An 18093-nucleotide genomic window follows, 5' to 3' on the forward strand; every position below is an offset into this window, starting at 1 on the left:
GGAAGCTGAGGCAGGAGAATGGCTTGAACCTGGCAGGCGGAGGTTGCAGTGAGCCGAGCTCACACCAGTACACTCCAGCCTGGGTGACAGAGTGAGACTCCGTCTAAAAAAAAAAAAAAAAAAAAGCCATGAGACGGGCAAGTGAAAGTCTGAAACAGATGTAGATTCCAATTCTCCTATTTCTGCCACTTAGCCATGCTGGGTCTCAGCATCTCATTTGCAAAAGGCCTTGCTGAGTTTCTCTAGGGGCAGGTAGCACACACCTGCCTTATGTCATGTGTTTGGAAAAACTTTTGTCTCCTCATAACTCCAGCACAGCTCAGAGATGGGAAGGCGACTTTTTATATTAACCTGAGGAGGGTATTAAATGAAGAAGGCAATCCAGACAAGTGGCTATTTCCTCCTAGCTTTGGCTCTGGGGACACCTTGGCATCCTGGGTGACATGGTAGGTTACAGAGCCGCTAAAATGGGCATGGGCAGACACACTGATCCAATACTAAGAGTTCAGCTGTAGCGTCCGGTGTTTCATGATACTCACTTGTCTTCCTCCCTTGCAACCCAGCCATTTCATGGGACCAACGGGCCACCACAGGGCATGGGATCAGATCTCAACACATTCTGCAGGCCCTTGTCGAAATTCTTCCCTAGTTCACTAGTGGGAGAGGGATTGGGTGTGGTTGCCAAAGAAATAAAAGCGTTGAAATTTCAATAGAAATGCCATAATTTATTCCATTGTATAAAAAAGTCATCCTTATGTAACAAAATGTCTTCTTAGAAGAAGAAATATATTATTTCAGGTCATAAATAATCAGCAAACATACAACTGTTGGCAACTAAAAAAAAACCCAACACTGGTATTTTCCATCAGTGCTGAAAACAAACCTGCTTAAGATATATTTACAGGATAGTACAGTACTCAAAAACAAAAATTGAGGTATTTGGTTCTTCTAGGAGTAGACAATGACATTTGTGAAGGCAGACACCTACACAAAAATAAATAAGGTATATTCTCATATGTATATGTGTCGTCGGGAATAATACTGGTAGGTATGTCAAGCATGAAGAGATTCTACAAAAAACAGGGGCGAGCAAAAAGAAACCGGATCACACACTGAGTCCTTTCTCTTCTGCCCCATTTTGTCAGATGGACTTGATGTACCCACTATATATTGGTCCCGAATGTGCTGAGTTCAGCAAATGTCTTGACGCTAAGTCATCACCATAACTGCTTAGAAACCCAGAGGAACTCGGGTGAAGTTAAATAAATAAGGACCAGCCCTCTCGAGCCCCTCCCAGAGTTATTGCATTTCTCCTCTCAAGGAGCATGGAGTCCCAATGGGATGTGAAGAGCCTCACCTCCCGTGGCCTTTCAGCAGCTGGGAGAGGTCGTAATGGGGCTCTGAAGGTAGCTCAGCGCACTGTTCGTGGAGTGGACAGGGATGGAGACGGGGAAGTTGAACACGGTGGTGGTGGAGGTGCCTCGGTCGAGCACAGCCATGGCGGGGCTCCCAGCCTCTGCCGAACAGTGCGGAGCCAGCACCTGGGACTCAAACTGCAGCAGCTGGCCCATGAAGCTGAAGTTGGGAGAGATGATGCTTCGCCTCTGCTTCACAAACTCAAAGGCCTCGTCCAGCTTGACTCGATTAGTCCTCATAAGGTAAGCAAGGCAGATGGTGGCTGACCGGGAAATGCCTGCCTGGCAGTGGACAAACACCCTTCCTCCAGCATTCTTGATGGAGTCTGGAAAACCAAAGGAGCGGCTGGTTACTTGAGAGTTCAGGAGAACCACCCCAAGCCCAGGTACAGTGTATCTGAGAAAGGTCATGTGTGTCTTGTCTAGAAATGGTCAACATCACCACATGCCATCACATGGATACTGTTCATGGAGGCAACGTGGGCACTGTGCAAAGGATGGCACAGGATTTAAACTCAGACTGGGGATTTCCACTTAGCAGATAGATCTCAGACCAGTCAATTCAACTTTGTGAGCCCCACTTTGCAAATCTGTAAAGTGGGACATCGAATCAAATTCATATTTTACAGGAATGTTGCCCACACCAGACTGATACTGAATGTGTGGAAGAAGGCTCAGAAAACTTCAAGCTCTTGCCACAGAGGTTGGGCTTAGTGGCTAAAATGAGAAGAGAAAGGCAGAAAAGCCCCAGGCATCCATTCCATTTACCTATGAAGTCAATGGCCTCGTTGAACCAGGAGCTGATGTCTGCCTTGTGGTTGTCCTCCACAGGGATGCTCTTGTACTGGTAGTGACCCTCAAAATGGTTGGGACAATTGGCTGAGACGTTGATCAAGGCAGTGATGCCCAAGGCATCCAGCATGTCCTTGCGGGAAGCGTGATACGCACTGCCCAGGTACAGAAAGGGCAGGATTTCCACCGGGCCACCCTGAAATCCAGAAATATCCAACATTCATCAAGCTTGCTCAAAGCCAAGGCCAGTGCCCATACCCACAAAAACTTTCTGCTGGAAAAGTCAATTTCAGATACCGAGTGAACTCAGTTCTGTTGCTGGAGGATAAATAAATAGGGAACTAAGCCCATTTGCCTGGGCAGGACCAGCAAGTTCATTTCCGTAGAGCCTACAATTGGAGACTCGGCTCCGTCAGACCACTTAACTGTGGAATAAATCATATCCCTGTGTCCCCTCCGTTATAAATAATGCTGCAGGTCACTTTCTATATTCTCCCTGGCACTACTCTTCCATGCCTTTGCCAGTTCTTACTTCTTCCCTGTGGCAGGGACACCTACTAACCTGATCGTAGAGTGGGGTACTGCAGGAACTGCACCCAGATTCCGCGCTGTCAGGGACGCTAGTACTCAGGGGAAGGCTGAGCCCCATGGGGGTCGACTGTTTGCTGCACAGCTCCGGGCAGGAAGCCGAAAACGCTTCGTATCCTCCTGGGAATACAAAGACATTTTTTTTCCCCATTAGTGACACCGGGACACGGCACCTTCATACAACTCCCCCACCCACCAAGGGCTGGAAGTTTACATCGGAAAGGCCCAGGCAAGTCTTTGTTTCCAGAGCCAAACAAAGCCAATGACAAGTTCCAGAGATAAATGTACTCCAGCGCCCACGCGCTGCAGGTGGGGCGATCCCCCGGGAGCCGAGAGCCAGGGGTACCGGGCAAAACCTCAGGGGTGTGCGGCCCGCCCCGAGCTTCCCCGAGGGCGTACCTTTGAGGAAGAAGACTTGCGCGGCGCGCGCCTCGCGGCAGAGCGCGCCGGCCGCCAGGGCCAGGGTGCCGTCGCGCTTGGCGCCGTCCAGGGCGGCGCTGCGCTCGTCCAGCAACACCACGGCGTGGTAGGCGCCGGCCAGCAGGCGGCCGCGGAGCTCGGCGTTGGGCACGATGTGCTCCAGGCCCATGGCGCCCTTGGCCCGGCGCCGCACGATGGTGCTGAAGCGCACGTTGACAGAGCCGGCGATGTGGCCGGCGTTGAAAGCGAAGAAGGAGCGGCAGTCCAGCAGCAGGCATTGCGCCGCTCGCTCCCCCAGCAGCGCCCGCAGGCCTCCAGCGTCCAGGGTGCCCACTTCCATGACCATGGCCGGCCTCAGCGCCCCCAGCGTGATCGGCCCTGCGGTGCTCTTTGTCTGTTCTCGGGGCCAAGGGCAGGGCGGCGCTTTTCGAGGAAAAGCTAGACCCCCGGGTCTCTCTGCGCCGAACCAAAAGCCGCTTTTGGACTGAGAGAGGAGCGTCACGCGGGGCTCCGGGCTCCTCGGCTTCTTCGCGGTTCCCCCGACTGCCCCTCCGACCCGCGTCGCACACACAGCCCAAATGTCCTTCGCAGCGAGCCTGGCCCGGGGAGCGCGTTTATATGCGGCCTCTGGGGGACGGGGCGGGCCAGACCCGCGCGCAGGGGGAGGGGGGGTGTTTGTTTGAATGGTGATCACGTGACGGGGCGGTGACGTCACCCGCCCTGCCAGGCCAGGCGCCGCCGAGCCAGAGGGGGAGACGTCATCAGCCTCGGAGCTGGGTCCGCTCGCCGCGCGCTGGCTCGCGGCCCGGCCCCCGCCCTGCTGTCCGGCCTGCTCTTGGCGCGTCCCCAGGGACCGGACCCGCGCCGCGCTCCAGGCCCAGCGGGGAGGAGGAGGGCTCGCTGCCAGCTGAGGCTGACCTCCGGGATGCGAGCGGCCGGGAGAACGGGCGACGTGCCACCTGCCTTGGCCTCGCCGCTCCTCCCTCTCTCCCTCCCCGAGTCCCCTTCCCCGTGCCCCTCGGCCGCCGACCTGAACCGAAAGGGGCTTCCTGTGCTTTTGCATACTCTTGTGCCCCTTTTCCTCATTTCCTCATCACTAACAGGCGGGGAAACTGAGGTTCCCCAGGCGAAGCGACTGACTTGCCCAGAACCACACTACTGGGGTGGGGGCAGCAAATAGGCGCCTAAGATGAAGTTTAGAGAAAAATGAACAACTCTGCCGATAGAAAAGTCGTCCCTACCAAGACCGACTCGAGCGAGTTGGGGCGGAGAGGTTCAGGGCAATGCTTTCCTGTTTCCCAGACTTTTCTTTAAGGTGGCTTTAAAATATCTACATTTGCCATGAAAGTGTGAGCAAGCAAACTCCCACCGGGAAATAATGCTATTCCTAGTCTTGTGGCCCCCGGAAGACTTGGAGCCAAGGGAGGCAGGTCAGGGGGCTGAAATCCCGGTGAGGGGTCGCAAGGCCCCGCAGTGGATTCCAGGGTTTGGCGTTTGGAGGGGTGAGGGGCGACCCGCAGCGCGACTCGACGGCGCCCCCCAGGGGCCGCCCGACACGTTTCTGTCACCTTGGCTCCAGACTGAGCTTCTCCATCCCTTTCTTTATTATACAAATAGGCAGTATACACAGTGAGCGCCCACTAAGCGCTGGGCTGGGGGCCTCCAACCCGGAACAGAAGCCGGCCACAACCCTCGCTCCCTGTCGTCGCGGCCGTTATAGGCCGAAAGCAAAATCCAATCCCGGGCCATTGTGGGCGGATTGCCAGGACCTGGATCGCAACACTTGGGAAGACCCCCGCCCCGCCCAGCGATCTCCGTGCCCTGAGTCCCAGTGACGGCCCCCTGGACAGCGGAGCCTGCTGCAGCGACGCGACGCGCTGGGTACACAAACATAAACATTGCGCCACCCGCCCGGGTGCCGAGTCAGGAACATTCTGCGGTTTCCTCCCCTCCTGGGGGAGGGGATTTCGCTGGCCACCCTGTGTCGTCGCTGTGCGAGCTGTATCACCAGTGGCAACTTCTGCATTTGCCTCGCTTAGCTTGTGTGTTTTCGCCTGCGCAAATGTTCTGCCTGGATTCTTCTAGAAAAGTTCAGGGCATGGAGTGCTTTTTTTTTTAAAAGGGCGTCTTCTACCTTCATTTGAACATTGGTCGAGGACAGCAAAGAGGTCCTCAGATAAGGGCAACGCCCTCCCTGTATGGAGAGATAGAAGAAAAAGAAATTGTTTATACTACTTATTCAGCTGAGGAACTCAACATAGTTTTTGCGTTGAATCATAGAATGTTACAGCTGCTGACTTTTCACTGCATACCGACTTGATTTGTCCCATTTTTTTTCTCACCAAGAGCATTTATTATACCTTCCCCTACCGAAATTTTTCAAAAAGAAAACTTTTTAAGAGCTGGGCGCTGTGGCTCACACCTGTAATCCCAGCACTTCGGGAGGCCGTGGGGGGGCGGATCATGAGGTCAGGAGATCGAGACCATCCTGGCCAACATGGTGAAACCCTGTCTCTACTAAAAATACAAAAATTAGTTGGGTGTGGTGGTGGGCGCCTGTAATCCCAGTTACTCGAGAGCCTGAGGCTGAACCCGGGAGGCAGAGGTTGCAGTGAGCCAAGATCACACCACTGCACTCCAGCCTGGTGACAGAGCAAGACTCTGTCTCAAAAAAAAAAAAGAAAAGAAAACTTTTTAATGCCGTTATCATAGTAGTAGTGGCGCAGTCTGGCCCTAGAGCCAGGTGTCTGCTGGCCTCTCCTGCTTTTCTCTCTCCTCCCTTGCTGGAAAGAGTGCAGAGAGTAGACTTGAACCCTGTCATTTTGCTGCTGGATGGTCAGAGGTGAGTCTCGACCCCTACTGAGCCTCCAAACCCACGTCTGTACAGTGCGTCTACACTGGCCCACTTTGTAGATGGTTTGAGGCCCAAGTGAGAGATGGGGGGTTTAGGGAACTCAGGCCCTACCTCACCCCTGCTCTTTATGATTCACTGTATCTCTAGGGTTTCCCCTTCCCAGCAGAATGGTTCTTTATATATCATCATGCCCCTGTGCCTTTCAGAGACTTGCCTCAGAACCAGGGAGAAGGTCACTGCAAGCCATCTGCTTATGAGATACATCAGTGGACAGGGGCCCAACTCAGGCAGAGCTCCTCTTTAAGGCCCACTAACACACAGTGCTCGGGCCAGTGGGTCACCTGCCCGGCGACAAGTGGTAAACGTGTAGCCACCTAGGCCCCCAATCCAGGCAGTGGAGATGCTGCTTCTGACTGAGGATGGAGCCAAAGAGAGCCCAGCATAATCTGGTCTCTGTAACCACAGAAGGAGTGAGGGACTGGCCTTGTGGGCCTGGCTGCCAGAGGGAGTGAAGCAGATAAATCAGTGGATGTTGACTCAGGGGAGAGAATTGGGCCTTTCTGACCTGGGCTGTTCCCAATTCTACCTAGTCCTGCTTAGGAATAAACCTGGAGACAGTGAGGAGTAGCGGAAAGAAGGGTTCAGGGTTCCACACTCCCCAAAAAGCTGGCCTGGATTTTCTACCTTTAATGTGTGGCCTTGAGTAAGTGCCCCCATGGTGCTGAGCTCCACCCCCTCCTTCCCATGATGGAGAGAAGAATAATAACATTCACCTCCAGGGACTCTGGGGAGACTCAGTGTAGCCAGGGTTGGCCCTAGCTCACAATCCCTGTCCTAATCCTGCTCTCAAAGGCGACTTTGGATCTCTCTTGGGATCACAGGAAAAGAAAAGAGTTGAGCTCCCGCTGATGACAGTCAGAAAGAGGCCCCCGCTCACTGTCTGCTTGGTGACCTTGGGCAAGCAGCTTACCGTTTCTGAGCCTCTGTTTCCCCATTTGTAAACTGGGAATAACATCCATTTAGGACCAAGTAAAACAGTGTATAAGAACCTGATGTGGATGACACCCAAAGAGGGTGCTCTCAAGAGAGGGAGCAGGGCCCCACATTCATGTTCCCTCTTTCAAAAACCACGGCGTTTTTCCTGTCTCCCCTGTGCTGTATGGGGGTTCCTCCCCTCAATAGCCTTCTATAACTCCCCATTTCTTAGCAAATCCAAAACTCACTGCCACTGGGCCTCGGCCATCTATATGGCTCAGCTTCCCACTCTCTTTGCTTTCTCTCTTGTGCTCCAGGAAAATTCTGTGGGCCTGTGTTCCTAGAATGTTCTTGTCCTCTCCCACATCTTTGCTCACATTCCTCCCCCTCCCCCTGCCAGACAGTGGCCCCTCTGGGCTCCCCCATAGTCTTTCCAGGTGAAGACTCCTCTGGTTTCTCCAACTTCTCCCTCTCCTGCGTCTGGAGGACATTGTCCGTATATTCTGATTGTGTACAAGTCACCTAGATCTTTGTCGTACTCTCCCCAGGTTCTAAGTTGGTCAGCTTGAGGGCAAGGGGTGTGTTTTTCTCAACATTGCACTCCCCAGCCTACTACCTTTGATGCAGTGCCTGGCACATAGTAGGTTCACAATTTGGGAAACGGTAGAATTGTTTCAAAGGGTACTGTTGAAAAGTGTCAGAAGAGAGGAGGGTGGTCACTGACACTCATTAGGCCTCACCTCTGGGCCAGGTGCATTACAGGTATCATTCCATGAATCTATCAGTGATCCTGTGAGGTGCTTGTTGTCCCCATTTTATAGGCAAGGCAAGAGGCTCAGAGAGGAGACATACCAAAGGTCACATGCCTAAGGTTATAAAGCTGGTAATCATCAGACACAGATCCAAACCCAGCGCCTGTCTGACTTGAGAGAGGGAGCTGGGCCTGGGTCTGTTGAGGCCTCCGCGTCTGCCAGCCCCATGTCTGGCAGCACTGGCTGAAGCCTCTGCCTCCCAGCTTCCTGGAGTTCTTCTCGCTGGACGGAGTGGTCCCTGGTGTCAGCCCAGCAGGGAGCCTGGAGCCTTCTAAGACTCCCAACTCAGGCCCTAGTGCCGCTGCTGAAGAGACTCTGTAGCCACTCAGGCCTACCTTGAGGGACTGGCAAGGGGCTGACTTCACCCTCTACACCCAGGCAGTTGGGACAGAGCTAGCTGCCATTGCACAATCTTTACAAACAGATCTCCATGCTCAGACCTGGCAGGGCCCACAGAGCTGTGTCATCCTGTCTAACCTCCTCATTTGAGAGGCAAGAGCCCAGAGAGGTTAGGCAATCTGTCCAAAGTCACACAGTGTTCAGAACATTCTAACCGTAGTCAGCATTGTGTGAGCTGTGTGTCCAAACCCTTAACAGTGTTTATCTTTGGAAGGTGGAGTTCCTCTCATTTTCTTCCTTATGACTCTGAATGATTTGAACTTTTTAAACTTAAATGTGTAACTTTTGTAACGAAGAATAAAAGAAGATTAGAAGGCAATCATATGTAGGTAACAGCATTGTTGTTAAAACCAAGTTACAGAGTTAGACTGCCTGGATTAGAATCCCAGCTTGCTTACTCACCAGCTGTGTGTATTTGGGCAAGTTACTTTACCTCTGTGAGACTCAGTTTTCTCATCTTTAAAGCGGGAATAATAATCATATCGATCTTGTAGGGCTGATAGGAAGGTTATATAAGACAGTGATTGGCACACTAGAGCCTGTGAACCAAACCTAGCTCGCTCCCTCCTTCTGTACAAACCACAAACTAAGACTGGTTTTTATATTTTAAATGGTTGGGGGAAAAAAATCAAAAGAAGAATCTCATTTTATGACATGTGAATGTCATATAAAATTCAAACTTCAGTGTCCATAAATAAAGTTTTATTGGAACACAGCCACACCCGTTCCTTTACATGGTATCTGTGGCTGCTGTCACACTACAATGGGAGGCGTATATTGTGACAGAGACAGTATGGCTCACAAAGCCTCAAATATTTACCCAAGTCCCTTTACAGGAAAAGTTTGCCAACCCCTGATAGGAGCTCATGGATGAAAAGTACTGTAGAACAATGCCTGACACAGAGTAAGTGTTTAGAAAACTTTGTTATTATTATTATATAGATATTTATAAAATCTTCTTCCCTTCCGATGTTTTTAAAAGCAGTAATTGCTTTCATCATATAATTCATTGTGTTGAAGGCACAGTTTTCATATTTTAGCATTTCTCAGAGTGTAACAATTGGAGGCATGTCATCATTAATTGACAGCATTTTCCTTTCTTAATGGTGCACAGATTAATGAAAGGGCCTCAGAACTGATGACATCTTAGAGCCAGTAGATGCAGTAAAGTATAAAAGGTTTAAGATGGAGAAGAATTAAAGTGCTACAGTCATTCAGTTAACATCCGTTCTAGTAGTGGGACAGACTTGTTAAGTGCCAGGATAGAAACTGGGTAGCCCAGGAAAGATGCCCAGAGGAGGGGACGTCTACTTGGAGATGTAAAGGCTGATGTAGGATAGAAATACCTGGAGGAAATGCCTTTGAGAGGTGGGCCTCAGTTACTTACCACTTTCCCCCGGAAGCCTCACCTCCCCATAAAATAAGAATAGTAATAACCCCTAAAGACCACTTTGTGATTCATTTTCTTTTCTTTTTTTTTTTTTTTTTTTTCATTTGGAGTCTCGCTCTATCGCCCAGGCTGGAGTACAGTGGCGCGATCTCAGCTCACTGCAACCTCCGCCTCCAGGGTTCAAGCGATTCTGCTACCTTAGCCTCCTGAGTAGCTGGGATTACAGGCACCTGCCACCACGCCTGGCTAATTTTTGTATTTTTAGTAGAGACAGGGTTTCACCATGTTGGTCAGGCCGGTCTCAAGCTCCTGACCTCATGATCTACCTGCCCTGGCCTCCCAAAGTGCTGGGATTACAGGCGTGAGCCACTGCGACCGGCTTATCAATAATCATTTATATCTCTCCCACTAGCTTGGAAGCTAGGGCATGATTTCTTGTCTCTCTTGGTCCCCAGTACAGATCTCAAAGCAAGGCTTGTTGGACAAATAAATGAAGATGAGCCCAAGAGCCCAGGAGAGGGACCGGGAACAGCAGGGCCTCCGTGACTCACACAAGCTTCATCCCTGAACCAAGGACGCAGCCTGCCAACAATGGCCCCAAGCCACACCCCGCCACAGGGGGAACTGATGCTGCGGTGAGAAGTGACAGCTTTCTGTTGACTCTTTTTTTTTTCAAGCAGAATATGAATTGAGACATACTTTCATTTTCATAATCAGAACCTAACACTTAGTAACCAATGTTGGTGGAAGCAAATGAGATCACAGTTTGTCTGTTCCAAACTCATCTCTGGGAAAAGGAGGAGGAAAAATTATTGGCACTATGTTCAGAATCATAGCTGAAGATGCAGAAATTGTTCATCCCAATTTTGCCTTTGTAAGTAATGTGGGGGCAGTTCTTATTAGTAATTGCCAATCTCTACTGAGACACAGTATTTTGCTAGGCGCTTTATATTCATTTCCTGGTATGATCATGACATTAACCCTGTGAAATGCGTACCCTTACTATCTCCATGTGAAGAAATGAGGGAACTGAGGACCAGAGAGGTGAACTGACTTGTCCAAAGACACACAGTAAGGGCTGTGACTCTCCGCTTTCTAAGATTTTTGTTCTTATCGCTCCACAGCACATAGCAGGCGTAGTATGAAGGCAGCATGCTGCACAATTTCGCTGTTTGTTTCTTGGAATAATAATTTATAGGGGACTGCTTCTAGATTCCAAAGGAAAGAGAAAGGAAATATGCCCCAAACTCAGGCTTTCAGCCTGGCCCTGCCTGACTCACTGAGCTGCATTGGACAAATGATTCATTCACTGGCCTTGACCTCAGTGGGTTTGGCCACCCATTGAGAGTGAAGTCACACCTCCAGCACTGCGATGCATTTATTGATCCACTCACCTAGCTTCATGGCAGGCAAGAAACAGGCCTGTGTGAGCCTGCCCAGGATCAGGGACAGGAGAGCACACAGGTGTTTCTGGATATCCTCAAGCTGTAGCTGGGCTGCTCGATTCTTCCCTAGGAGATCCTCCGGGGGCCTGAATTAGTTTGCTAGGGCTTCCGTAACAAAGCGCCACAGACTGAGCGGCTTAAATAAAAATGTGTCATCTCATGGTTCTGGAGGCTGGAAGTCTGAGATCAAGGTGCTGGGGATTAGGACTTGAACATATGTTTTTTGGGGGCACACTTCAACCCTCCGGAGGGCCTGTGCCCCAAAGAGAGCCTCCTTCTGTGTGCAGTGAAGGTGTGAGTTCTAAACATGAGAAAAAAACACCCCTTGTTCTTGGATAGGGTGACTCGATACCACAAGCAGGTCCAACTGGCCCAGGTAAATATATTCGTTTAACATGATCGTCACCAAAATATTGAGGGTAGGTGTTTTTTTCTGGAGTTAAACAAGTTGATTCTGGAGTTGATATGAAATAATAAACAAGCAAAAATAGCCAGAATTGTTTTTTTTAAAAAAGGGCAATGGGGTGGAGGTAAGCCCTACCAGACATTAAAACACATCATAAAGCTTCTGTAATTGGCAGGGCACAGTGGCTCATGCCTGTAACCCCAGCACTTTGAGAGGCTGTGATGGGAGGATTGCTTGAGCCCAGGAGTTTCAGACCAGCCTGAGCAACATAGCGAGACTCCATCTCTACAAAAATAAAAAATTAAAAGTTAGCTAAGTGTGGTGGTGTGCACTCGTAATCTCAGCTATTCCAGAAGTTGAGGTGGAAGGCTTGCTTAAGCCAAGGAATCTGAGGCTGCATTGAGCCATGATCACACCACTGCACTCCAGCCTGGGGGATGGAGTGAGATCATGTCTCTAAATATTTTTTTTTTTTTGAGACAGAGTCTCACTCTGTCGCCCAGGCTGGAGTGCCATGGTGCGATTTCATCTCACCGCAACCTCTGCCGCCCATGTTCAAGCAATTCTCCTCCCTCGGCCTCCCAAGTAGCTGGGATTATAGGTGCCTGCCACTGCGCCCAGCTAATTTTTGTAGTTTTTAGTAGAGACGGGGTTTCATCATCTTCGCCAGGCTGGTCTTGAACTCCTGACCTCATGATCCAGCCGCCTCAGCCTCCCAAATTCCTGGGACTGTTACAGGCGTCAGCCACCGCACCCGGCCTCTAAATTTTTTTTTTTTAATGTTTTAAAGCCTCTGTAATAAAAATGGTGTACCTGGAAACAAATAGCGAGACAGACCAATGGAACACAATAGAAAGTCCAGAAATGTATCCAAGTACACATGAAGATTTGGTGCATGGCCAAGGTGGCGTCTCAGATCACTGGAACATAAGACTTCTTAATAAGCATGCTGGAACCATGGCATTGCATTTGGAAAAAAGATAAAAGTGGATCCATACCTCACACCAAACATCAGAATAAACACCGAATGGTCCAGAGATCCAGATTTTAAAAAATGAAACCTTACAACTTCTTTTTTATTATTTTTTCATTTTTTAAGACTAGTCAACTACAGTAGTGAGAAGAGGGGAAAGGGTAGAACAAGGAGTTTGATCAGTAACTGACAGTCAACAAATCATTGAGATAACTCTCTACCTTTGAACCAGCCAAGGAAAGTTTACAACTCTTTTTTTTTTTTTTTTTTTTTTTGATACAGAGTCTCACTCTGTCACCCAGGCTGGAGTGCCGGGGAGCAATCTCTGCTCATTGTAGCCTCCGCCTACCAGGTTCAAAAGTCTCCTGCCTCAGCCTCCTGAGTAGCTGAGACTGCAGGCACCCACCACCATGCCTGGCTAATTTTTCTATTTTTAGTAGAAATGGGGTTTCACCATTGTTGGTCAGGCTGGTCTCAAACTCCTGACCTCAAGTGATCCATCCGCCTTGGCGTCCCAAAGTGTTGGGATTATAGGTGTGAGCCACCACACCGGCCAGTTTACAACTTTTAAAAGAAAACAGAGGGAAATGTATTTATAACCCAGGAGTAAGAAAATTTTTTATCTATTTAGGACTCAAAAGCCACAAACAATGAAAGAAAATTTTGATAAATTCAACTATATAAAAATTAAAGCCAAATTTTTAGAAAGCTTTTTATGCCTAAAGCTCCATAAGCAAAATTAAATTTTATTTAAAAAAAGGCAAATGGGGCTGGGCGTGGTGGCTCATGCCTGTGATCCCAGCACTTTGGGAGGCCAAGGCAGGCGGATCATGAGATCAGGAGATCAAGACCATCCTGGCTAACACGGTGAAACCCCATCTCTACTAAAAATACACACACACAAAAAAATTAGCTGGGTGTGGGGACGGGGGGCCTGTAGTCCCAGCTAGTCAGGAGGCTGAGGCAGGAGAGTGGTGTGAACCCAGGAGGTGGAGCTTGCAGTGAGCCGAGATCACACCACTGCACTCCAACCTGGGCGACAGAGTGAGACTCTGTCTCAAAAAAAATAAATAAACAAAAATAAAAAATAAAGGCAAATGGGAAAAAAAATTGTAATTTACAGATGAAGGCCAATTCCACCTATCTTAAAGGAGTTCTTAAAAACAAAGGATGAAAAAGCCAAAAATATGATTTTAAAATAGACAAAAACTGTGAGCAGATAGTTTACAGAAAAAGAACTACAGTCCTTCTGAACATGTTAAATGCCCATTCTTTTTTTTTTTTTTCCTTTTTGAGACAGAGTCTCGCTCTGTCACCCAGGCTGGAGTGCAATGGCATGATCTCAGCTCACTGCAACCTCCGTCTCCTGGGTTCAAGCTATTCTCCTGTCTCAGCCTCCCCAGTAGCTGGGACTATAGGCACCCGCCACCACACATGGCTAATTTTGTAATTTTAGTAGAGACAGGGTTTCACCATGTTGGCCATGCTGGTCTTGAACTCCTGACCTCAGGTGATCTGCCTGCCTCAGCCTCCCAAAGTGCTGGGATTACAGGCGTGAGCCACCACACCTGGCCTAGATTTCCACTGTTAATCATAATAAGAGACAAGAAAATTACTTAAGAGACTGTTTCTCATCCATCATCAGATTAGCCAAAATCCAAAAACTTGACAGCACCCTCTGGGACAAGGGAAACCTGACTATGGACTGGATATTAGGTAATATTATGGAATTGTTAATTCCACTTTGGTGGGTGCCTAGAAGAATATCTTGTTCTTAAGAGATGCATGCTGAAGTATTTAGCAGAGAAGGGTCATGATGTTGGCAACTTGGTCTCAAATGGTTTGGGGAGGAAAAATATGCACACATAAATCAATTAATCGTGGCAAAACATTAACAATTGTTGTGTCTATATGATGGGCATAAGGGTGTTCACGTGCAATGCTGTTGAGCTCAGAGGGCATTATGCTGAGTGAAATAAGCCAGACACAGAACGGGATCTCACTTACATGTGGAATCTTAAAAGTCGAACTCATAAAATCAAAGAATAGAATGGTGGTTGCAAAGCACTGGGAGGTAGGGGAAATGGGGAGATGTTGGTCAAAGGGTACAAACTTTCAGTTATTGAGGATGAATAAGGGTTAAGGTTAGGGTTAGGATCGAGTACACCTTATATTTATATAATTTTATTTGTCAATTATACCTCAATAAAGCTGAAGAAAGCCACCACTAAGAAAACGAAAAGAGAAGCAGCAGACCAGGAGAAAATATTTGCAAAACCAAATCTGATAACGGACTTGTATCCAGTATTTGCAAAGAACTTCTAAACTTAATAACAACAACGACGACAAAGGAGCAAAATCCCTGGTGGTCTAGCAGTGAGGATTAAAAAAGAAAAGAAGCAAAATATATGAACAGCTGTTTCTCCAAAGGAGATATACCAATAGCTAATAAAATATGCACAGATGCTCCACAACATTAGTCATTAGGGAAATACAGATTAAAATCACCATGAGGTACTACTTCACACACACTAGAATGACTAATCAAAGACAGATAATAACAGAAGTTGGCTAGGATGTGGAGAAACAGAACTGCTATGGTTTTAATGTCCCCTCTAAAACCCATGTTGAAATTTAATTGCCATTTGCAGTATTAAGTAGTGGGACCTTTATAAATTACCCAGTCTGTGGTATTCTGTTATAGCAGCAGAAAACAAACTAAGACAAGAACCCTCATACATTGCAGGTGGGAATATAAAGTGGTGCAGCCTCTTTGGAAAACAGTTTGGAGGTTCCTCAAAAAGTTAAACATACAATTACCATATGACCCAGCAATTCCACTCCCTAGGTATCTACCCAAGAGAAATGAAAACAGGTACTATACAAACAAAGACTTGTGAGTCACTGTTCATACAGCATAATCCATAATAGCCAAACACTGGAAACAACCTAAATATCCATCCACTGATGAATGAATAGGCAAAATGTGCTCTATCCATGCACTGGAACACTATTCACCAACAGAAAGGAGCAAACTGCTGACGCACGCTGCCGTATGGATGAACCTCAAAGGTGGGAAAGTTCAAGAAGCTAGGCACAAGGAACTGCGTATTGTATGATTCCATTTATATGAAATGTCCGGAAAGGCAAATTTAGAGAAACAGTAAACAGATTAATGGCTGGGTCTGAGGTGGGAACATGATTATCTGTAAGTGGGCATCAGGGAGGAATATTCCTGGGAACCATGAGAATGTTCTAGAATTGATCTTTAATTAATTTTTGTTGTTTTTGTTGTTCTTTGAGATGGAATCTCATGCTGTCACCTGGGCTGAAGTACAATGGCGGGATCTCGGCTCACTCCGACTTCCACCTCCCGGGTTCAAGGGATTCTCCTGCCTCAGCCTCCCGAGTAGCTGGGATTACAGGTGCCCACCACCACGCCCAGCTAATTTTTTGTATTTTTAGTAGAAACAGGGTTTCACTATGTTGGCCAGGCTGGTATTGAACTCCTGACCTCATGATCCGCCCGCCTTGGCCACCCAGATTGCTGGGATTACAGGCGTGAGCCAACGCACCTGGCCCTTTAATTAATTTTTTAAGAGATGGGATCTTGCTCTGTTGCCCAGGCTGGAGTATGGTGGTGTGATCCTGGCTCACTGCAGCCTCAACCTCCCAGGCACAATCAATCCTCCCACCTTAGCTTCCTGAGTAGCTGGGACTGTAGGCATGAACAACTGTGCCTGACTAATTTTAAATTTTTTTTTTGTAGAGATGGGGTCTTGCTTTGTTGCCCAGGCTAGTCTTAAACTCCTGGGCTCAAGCAATCCTCCAGCCTCAGCCTCCCAAGTAGCTCGGATTAAAGGCACACGCAATTGCTCCTGGCTATAAAATTGATTTATAGTGATGGTTGCACTACTTGGTAAAGTTACAAAAAAACATTGAATTGTATACTTGAGTAGGTTGAATTTTACAGTATTTAAATTGTACCTCAATAGATCTATTTTTTAAAAAAGATTTGAGTTTCTTTTTTTATGGTAATCCAGTATTTTATTTGTTCTGCCCATTAATAGCTATTATTTGAGAACATTTACAATATTAATGGAGCTTAATCTAAAATAAATTCAACTTACTTTTTAAAATATCTCAATACTGGGTATTAATAAAAAAAATAGTCAAAATAATTATGGTCAAAATTATGCCAAAAACTTAAAAACAAATGCTTCGTATTAGTATGTCTACACACAATTCAGTATTTGGCATAAAGTGTTTTGGCTGCAAGAAAGGATGCTAGTTTTACTTCACTATGGGGAGTATCTCTTAATGCTTGGGTGACCTCTTTTGGTATTCCTTCTGTTGTTGGTTTTTGGCCTAGTTATCTGTGACTGTATGAATGGAATTGAGTGGAGGGGTATCCATTGTGTTAATTCCAAATAAGAGTGCATAACTTACATAGTTTGGATATTTGTCCCCACCCAAATCTCATGTTGAATTGTAATCCCCAGTGTTGGAGGCGGGGCCTGGTGGGAGGTGTTTGGATCATGGGGGTGGATCTCTCATGGCTCGGTGCTGTGTTCATGATAGATCTGGTCACACCTGTAATCCCAGCACTTTGGAAGGCCAAGGCGGGCAGATCACTTGAGGCCAGGAGTTCGAGACCAGCCTGGGCAACATGGCAAAATCCAGTCTCTACTAAAAATACAAAAATTAGCCAGGCGTGGTGGTGGGCGCCTGTAATCCCAGCTATTCAAGAGGCTGAGGCAGGAGAATAGCTGGAACCTGGGAGGGGAAGTCTGCAGTGAGCCAAGATCATGCCGCTGCACTGCAGCCTGGGGGACATAGCGAGACTCCGTCTCAAACAAATAAAATAAAAGTATATGGTACCCCCCACACCCTGTCTCTCTCGTTCCTGCTTTCACTGTGTAATGTGCCTGCTCCCCCTTGCCTTCTGCCATGATTAGAAGCTTCCTGAGACCTCCCCAGAAACAGATGCTGGTGCCATACCTCCTGTATAGCCTGCAGAACCATTAGCCAATTAAACCTCTTTTCTTATAAAGTTCCCAGTCTCAGAATTTTTTTTTTTTTTTTTGAGATGGAGTATCACTCTGTCCCCCAGGCTGGAGTGCAGTGGCTCGATCTCAGCTCACTGCAACCTCTATCATCCTGGTTCAAGTGATTACCCTGCCTCAGCCTCCCAAGTAGCTGGGATTACAGGCTCCTGCCACTGTGCCCAGCTAATTTTTGTATTTTTAGTAGAGACGGAGTTTCACCATCTTGGCCAGGCTGGTCTTAAACTCCTGACTTCATGATCCACCTGCCTCAGCCTCGTGAAGTGATAGGATTACAGGTGTGAGTCACCGCGCCCAGCCTCAGATATTTCTTTATAGCAATGCCAGAATGGCCTAACAGTAACTGATTACTAAAATAAGGAATAAGGAGATAGACAATGTAACTGCCCAATAATTTTGAGGCCCATAAGTTAAGCCTAAGGAGTTTAACCATGATTCAGGAATAAAGGCCCACACAATATACAGTATGAAGTTAAACTGGAAACAAGAAAAAAACAAGGCCCGGCACCGTGGCCACACCTGTAATCCCAGCACTTTGGGAGGCTGAGGTGGGAGGAT

At 47.9% G+C, this 18093-nt stretch overlaps 1 protein-coding gene and 1 long non-coding RNA gene across 6 annotated transcripts, besides 11 other annotated features; one reads left to right on the forward strand and one right to left on the reverse strand.

Moving 5' to 3' along the window:
• Window positions 546-738: a silencer, noted in NCBI's record as "fragment chr5:172194940-172195132 (GRCh37/hg19 assembly coordinates)". NCBI's record gives its function as "represses an EF-1alpha promoter that drives an FKBP-Casp9 reporter gene in an ReSE screen in HepG2 liver carcinoma cells {active_cell/tissue: HepG2}" and the evidence as "EXISTENCE:reporter gene assay evidence [ECO:0000049][PMID:32094911]".
• On the reverse strand, window positions 705-3804 carry DUSP1 (dual specificity phosphatase 1). The gene is made up of 4 exons (NM_004417.4): window positions 3195-3804; window positions 2770-2915; window positions 2184-2403; window positions 705-1741 (listed from the first exon to the last, which is right to left on the reverse strand). Exons 1-4 carry the CDS (start codon window positions 3559-3561, stop codon window positions 1371-1373), a joined length of 1104 nt encoding a protein of 367 aa, NP_004408.1. The 5' UTR covers window positions 3562-3804; the 3' UTR covers window positions 705-1370.
• Window positions 3152-3261: a silencer, noted in NCBI's record as "silent region_16625". NCBI's record gives its function as "represses an Ori minimal core promoter by ATAC-STARR-seq in GM12878 lymphoblastoid cells {active_cell/tissue: GM12878}" and the evidence as "EXISTENCE:reporter gene assay evidence [ECO:0000049][PMID:35858748]".
• Window positions 3291-4052: an enhancer, noted in NCBI's record as "H3K27ac hESC enhancer chr5:172197685-172198446 (GRCh37/hg19 assembly coordinates)". NCBI's record gives its function as "activates a minimal SCP1, AML or CMV promoter by ChIP-STARR-seq in naive H9 embryonic stem cells {active_cell/tissue: H9 hESC(naive)}" and the evidence as "EXISTENCE:reporter gene assay evidence [ECO:0000049][PMID:30033119]".
• Window positions 3291-6615: a biological region, named in NCBI's record as "VISTA enhancer hs1828".
• Window positions 3362-3631: an enhancer, noted in NCBI's record as "active region_23643". NCBI's record gives its function as "activates an Ori minimal core promoter by ATAC-STARR-seq in GM12878 lymphoblastoid cells {active_cell/tissue: GM12878}" and the evidence as "EXISTENCE:reporter gene assay evidence [ECO:0000049][PMID:35858748]".
• Window positions 3802-4251: a silencer, noted in NCBI's record as "silent region_16626". NCBI's record gives its function as "represses an Ori minimal core promoter by ATAC-STARR-seq in GM12878 lymphoblastoid cells {active_cell/tissue: GM12878}" and the evidence as "EXISTENCE:reporter gene assay evidence [ECO:0000049][PMID:35858748]".
• Window positions 4053-4814: an enhancer, noted in NCBI's record as "H3K27ac-H3K4me1 hESC enhancer chr5:172198447-172199208 (GRCh37/hg19 assembly coordinates)". NCBI's record gives its function as "activates a minimal SCP1, AML or CMV promoter by ChIP-STARR-seq in naive H9 embryonic stem cells {active_cell/tissue: H9 hESC(naive)}" and the evidence as "EXISTENCE:reporter gene assay evidence [ECO:0000049][PMID:30033119]".
• Window positions 4279-6615: an enhancer, noted in NCBI's record as "VISTA enhancer hs1828". NCBI's record gives its function as "enhancer in: neural tube[5/11] | hindbrain (rhombencephalon)[5/11]" and the evidence as "EXISTENCE:transgenic organism evidence [ECO:0001131][PMID:17130149]".
• Window positions 4815-5574: an enhancer, noted in NCBI's record as "H3K27ac-H3K4me1 hESC enhancer chr5:172199209-172199968 (GRCh37/hg19 assembly coordinates)". NCBI's record gives its function as "activates a minimal SCP1, AML or CMV promoter by ChIP-STARR-seq in naive H9 embryonic stem cells {active_cell/tissue: H9 hESC(naive)}" and the evidence as "EXISTENCE:reporter gene assay evidence [ECO:0000049][PMID:30033119]".
• On the forward strand, window positions 4820-14943 carry LOC105377730 (uncharacterized). 5 transcript variants are annotated; one of them, NR_188285.1, is made up of 3 exons: window positions 4820-5096; window positions 10101-10519; window positions 14681-14943. It is a non-coding gene; the product is annotated as an uncharacterized LOC105377730 (long non-coding RNA). The 5 variants fall into 5 exon arrangements; NR_188287.1 differs by lacking the exon at window positions 4820-5096 and adding an exon at window positions 9101-9159; NR_188283.1 differs by lacking the exon at window positions 14681-14943 and having other exon boundaries at window positions 10101-11580.
• Window positions 4852-5081: an enhancer, noted in NCBI's record as "active region_23644". NCBI's record gives its function as "activates an Ori minimal core promoter by ATAC-STARR-seq in GM12878 lymphoblastoid cells {active_cell/tissue: GM12878}" and the evidence as "EXISTENCE:reporter gene assay evidence [ECO:0000049][PMID:35858748]".
• Window positions 9975-10424: an enhancer, noted in NCBI's record as "active region_23645". NCBI's record gives its function as "activates an Ori minimal core promoter by ATAC-STARR-seq in GM12878 lymphoblastoid cells {active_cell/tissue: GM12878}" and the evidence as "EXISTENCE:reporter gene assay evidence [ECO:0000049][PMID:35858748]".
• Window positions 14944-18093: the final 3150 nt, after the last annotated feature.

The sequence above is a fragment of the Homo sapiens genome, chromosome 5 (assembly GCF_000001405.40).
Source record: "Homo sapiens chromosome 5, GRCh38.p14 Primary Assembly".
Lineage (NCBI taxonomy): Eukaryota > Metazoa > Chordata > Mammalia > Primates > Hominidae > Homo > Homo sapiens.

What these genes read in the sequence shown, in the direction of transcription:
- DUSP1 (NM_004417.4), bottom strand. Translation starts at nt 3,561, where the DNA reads ATGGTCATGGAAGTGGGCACCCTGGACGCTGGAGGCCTGCGGGCGCTG. An exon ending in GCAAGTCTTCTTCCTCAAAG is followed by an intron (nt 2,916 to 3,194) that starts GTACGCCCTCGG and finishes TTGTATTCCCAG; the next exon opens with GAGGATACGAAGCGTTTTCG. An exon ending in CGAGGCCATTGACTTCATAG is followed by an intron (nt 1,742 to 2,183) that starts GTAAATGGAATG and finishes TTGGTTTTCCAG; the next exon opens with ACTCCATCAAGAATGCTGGA.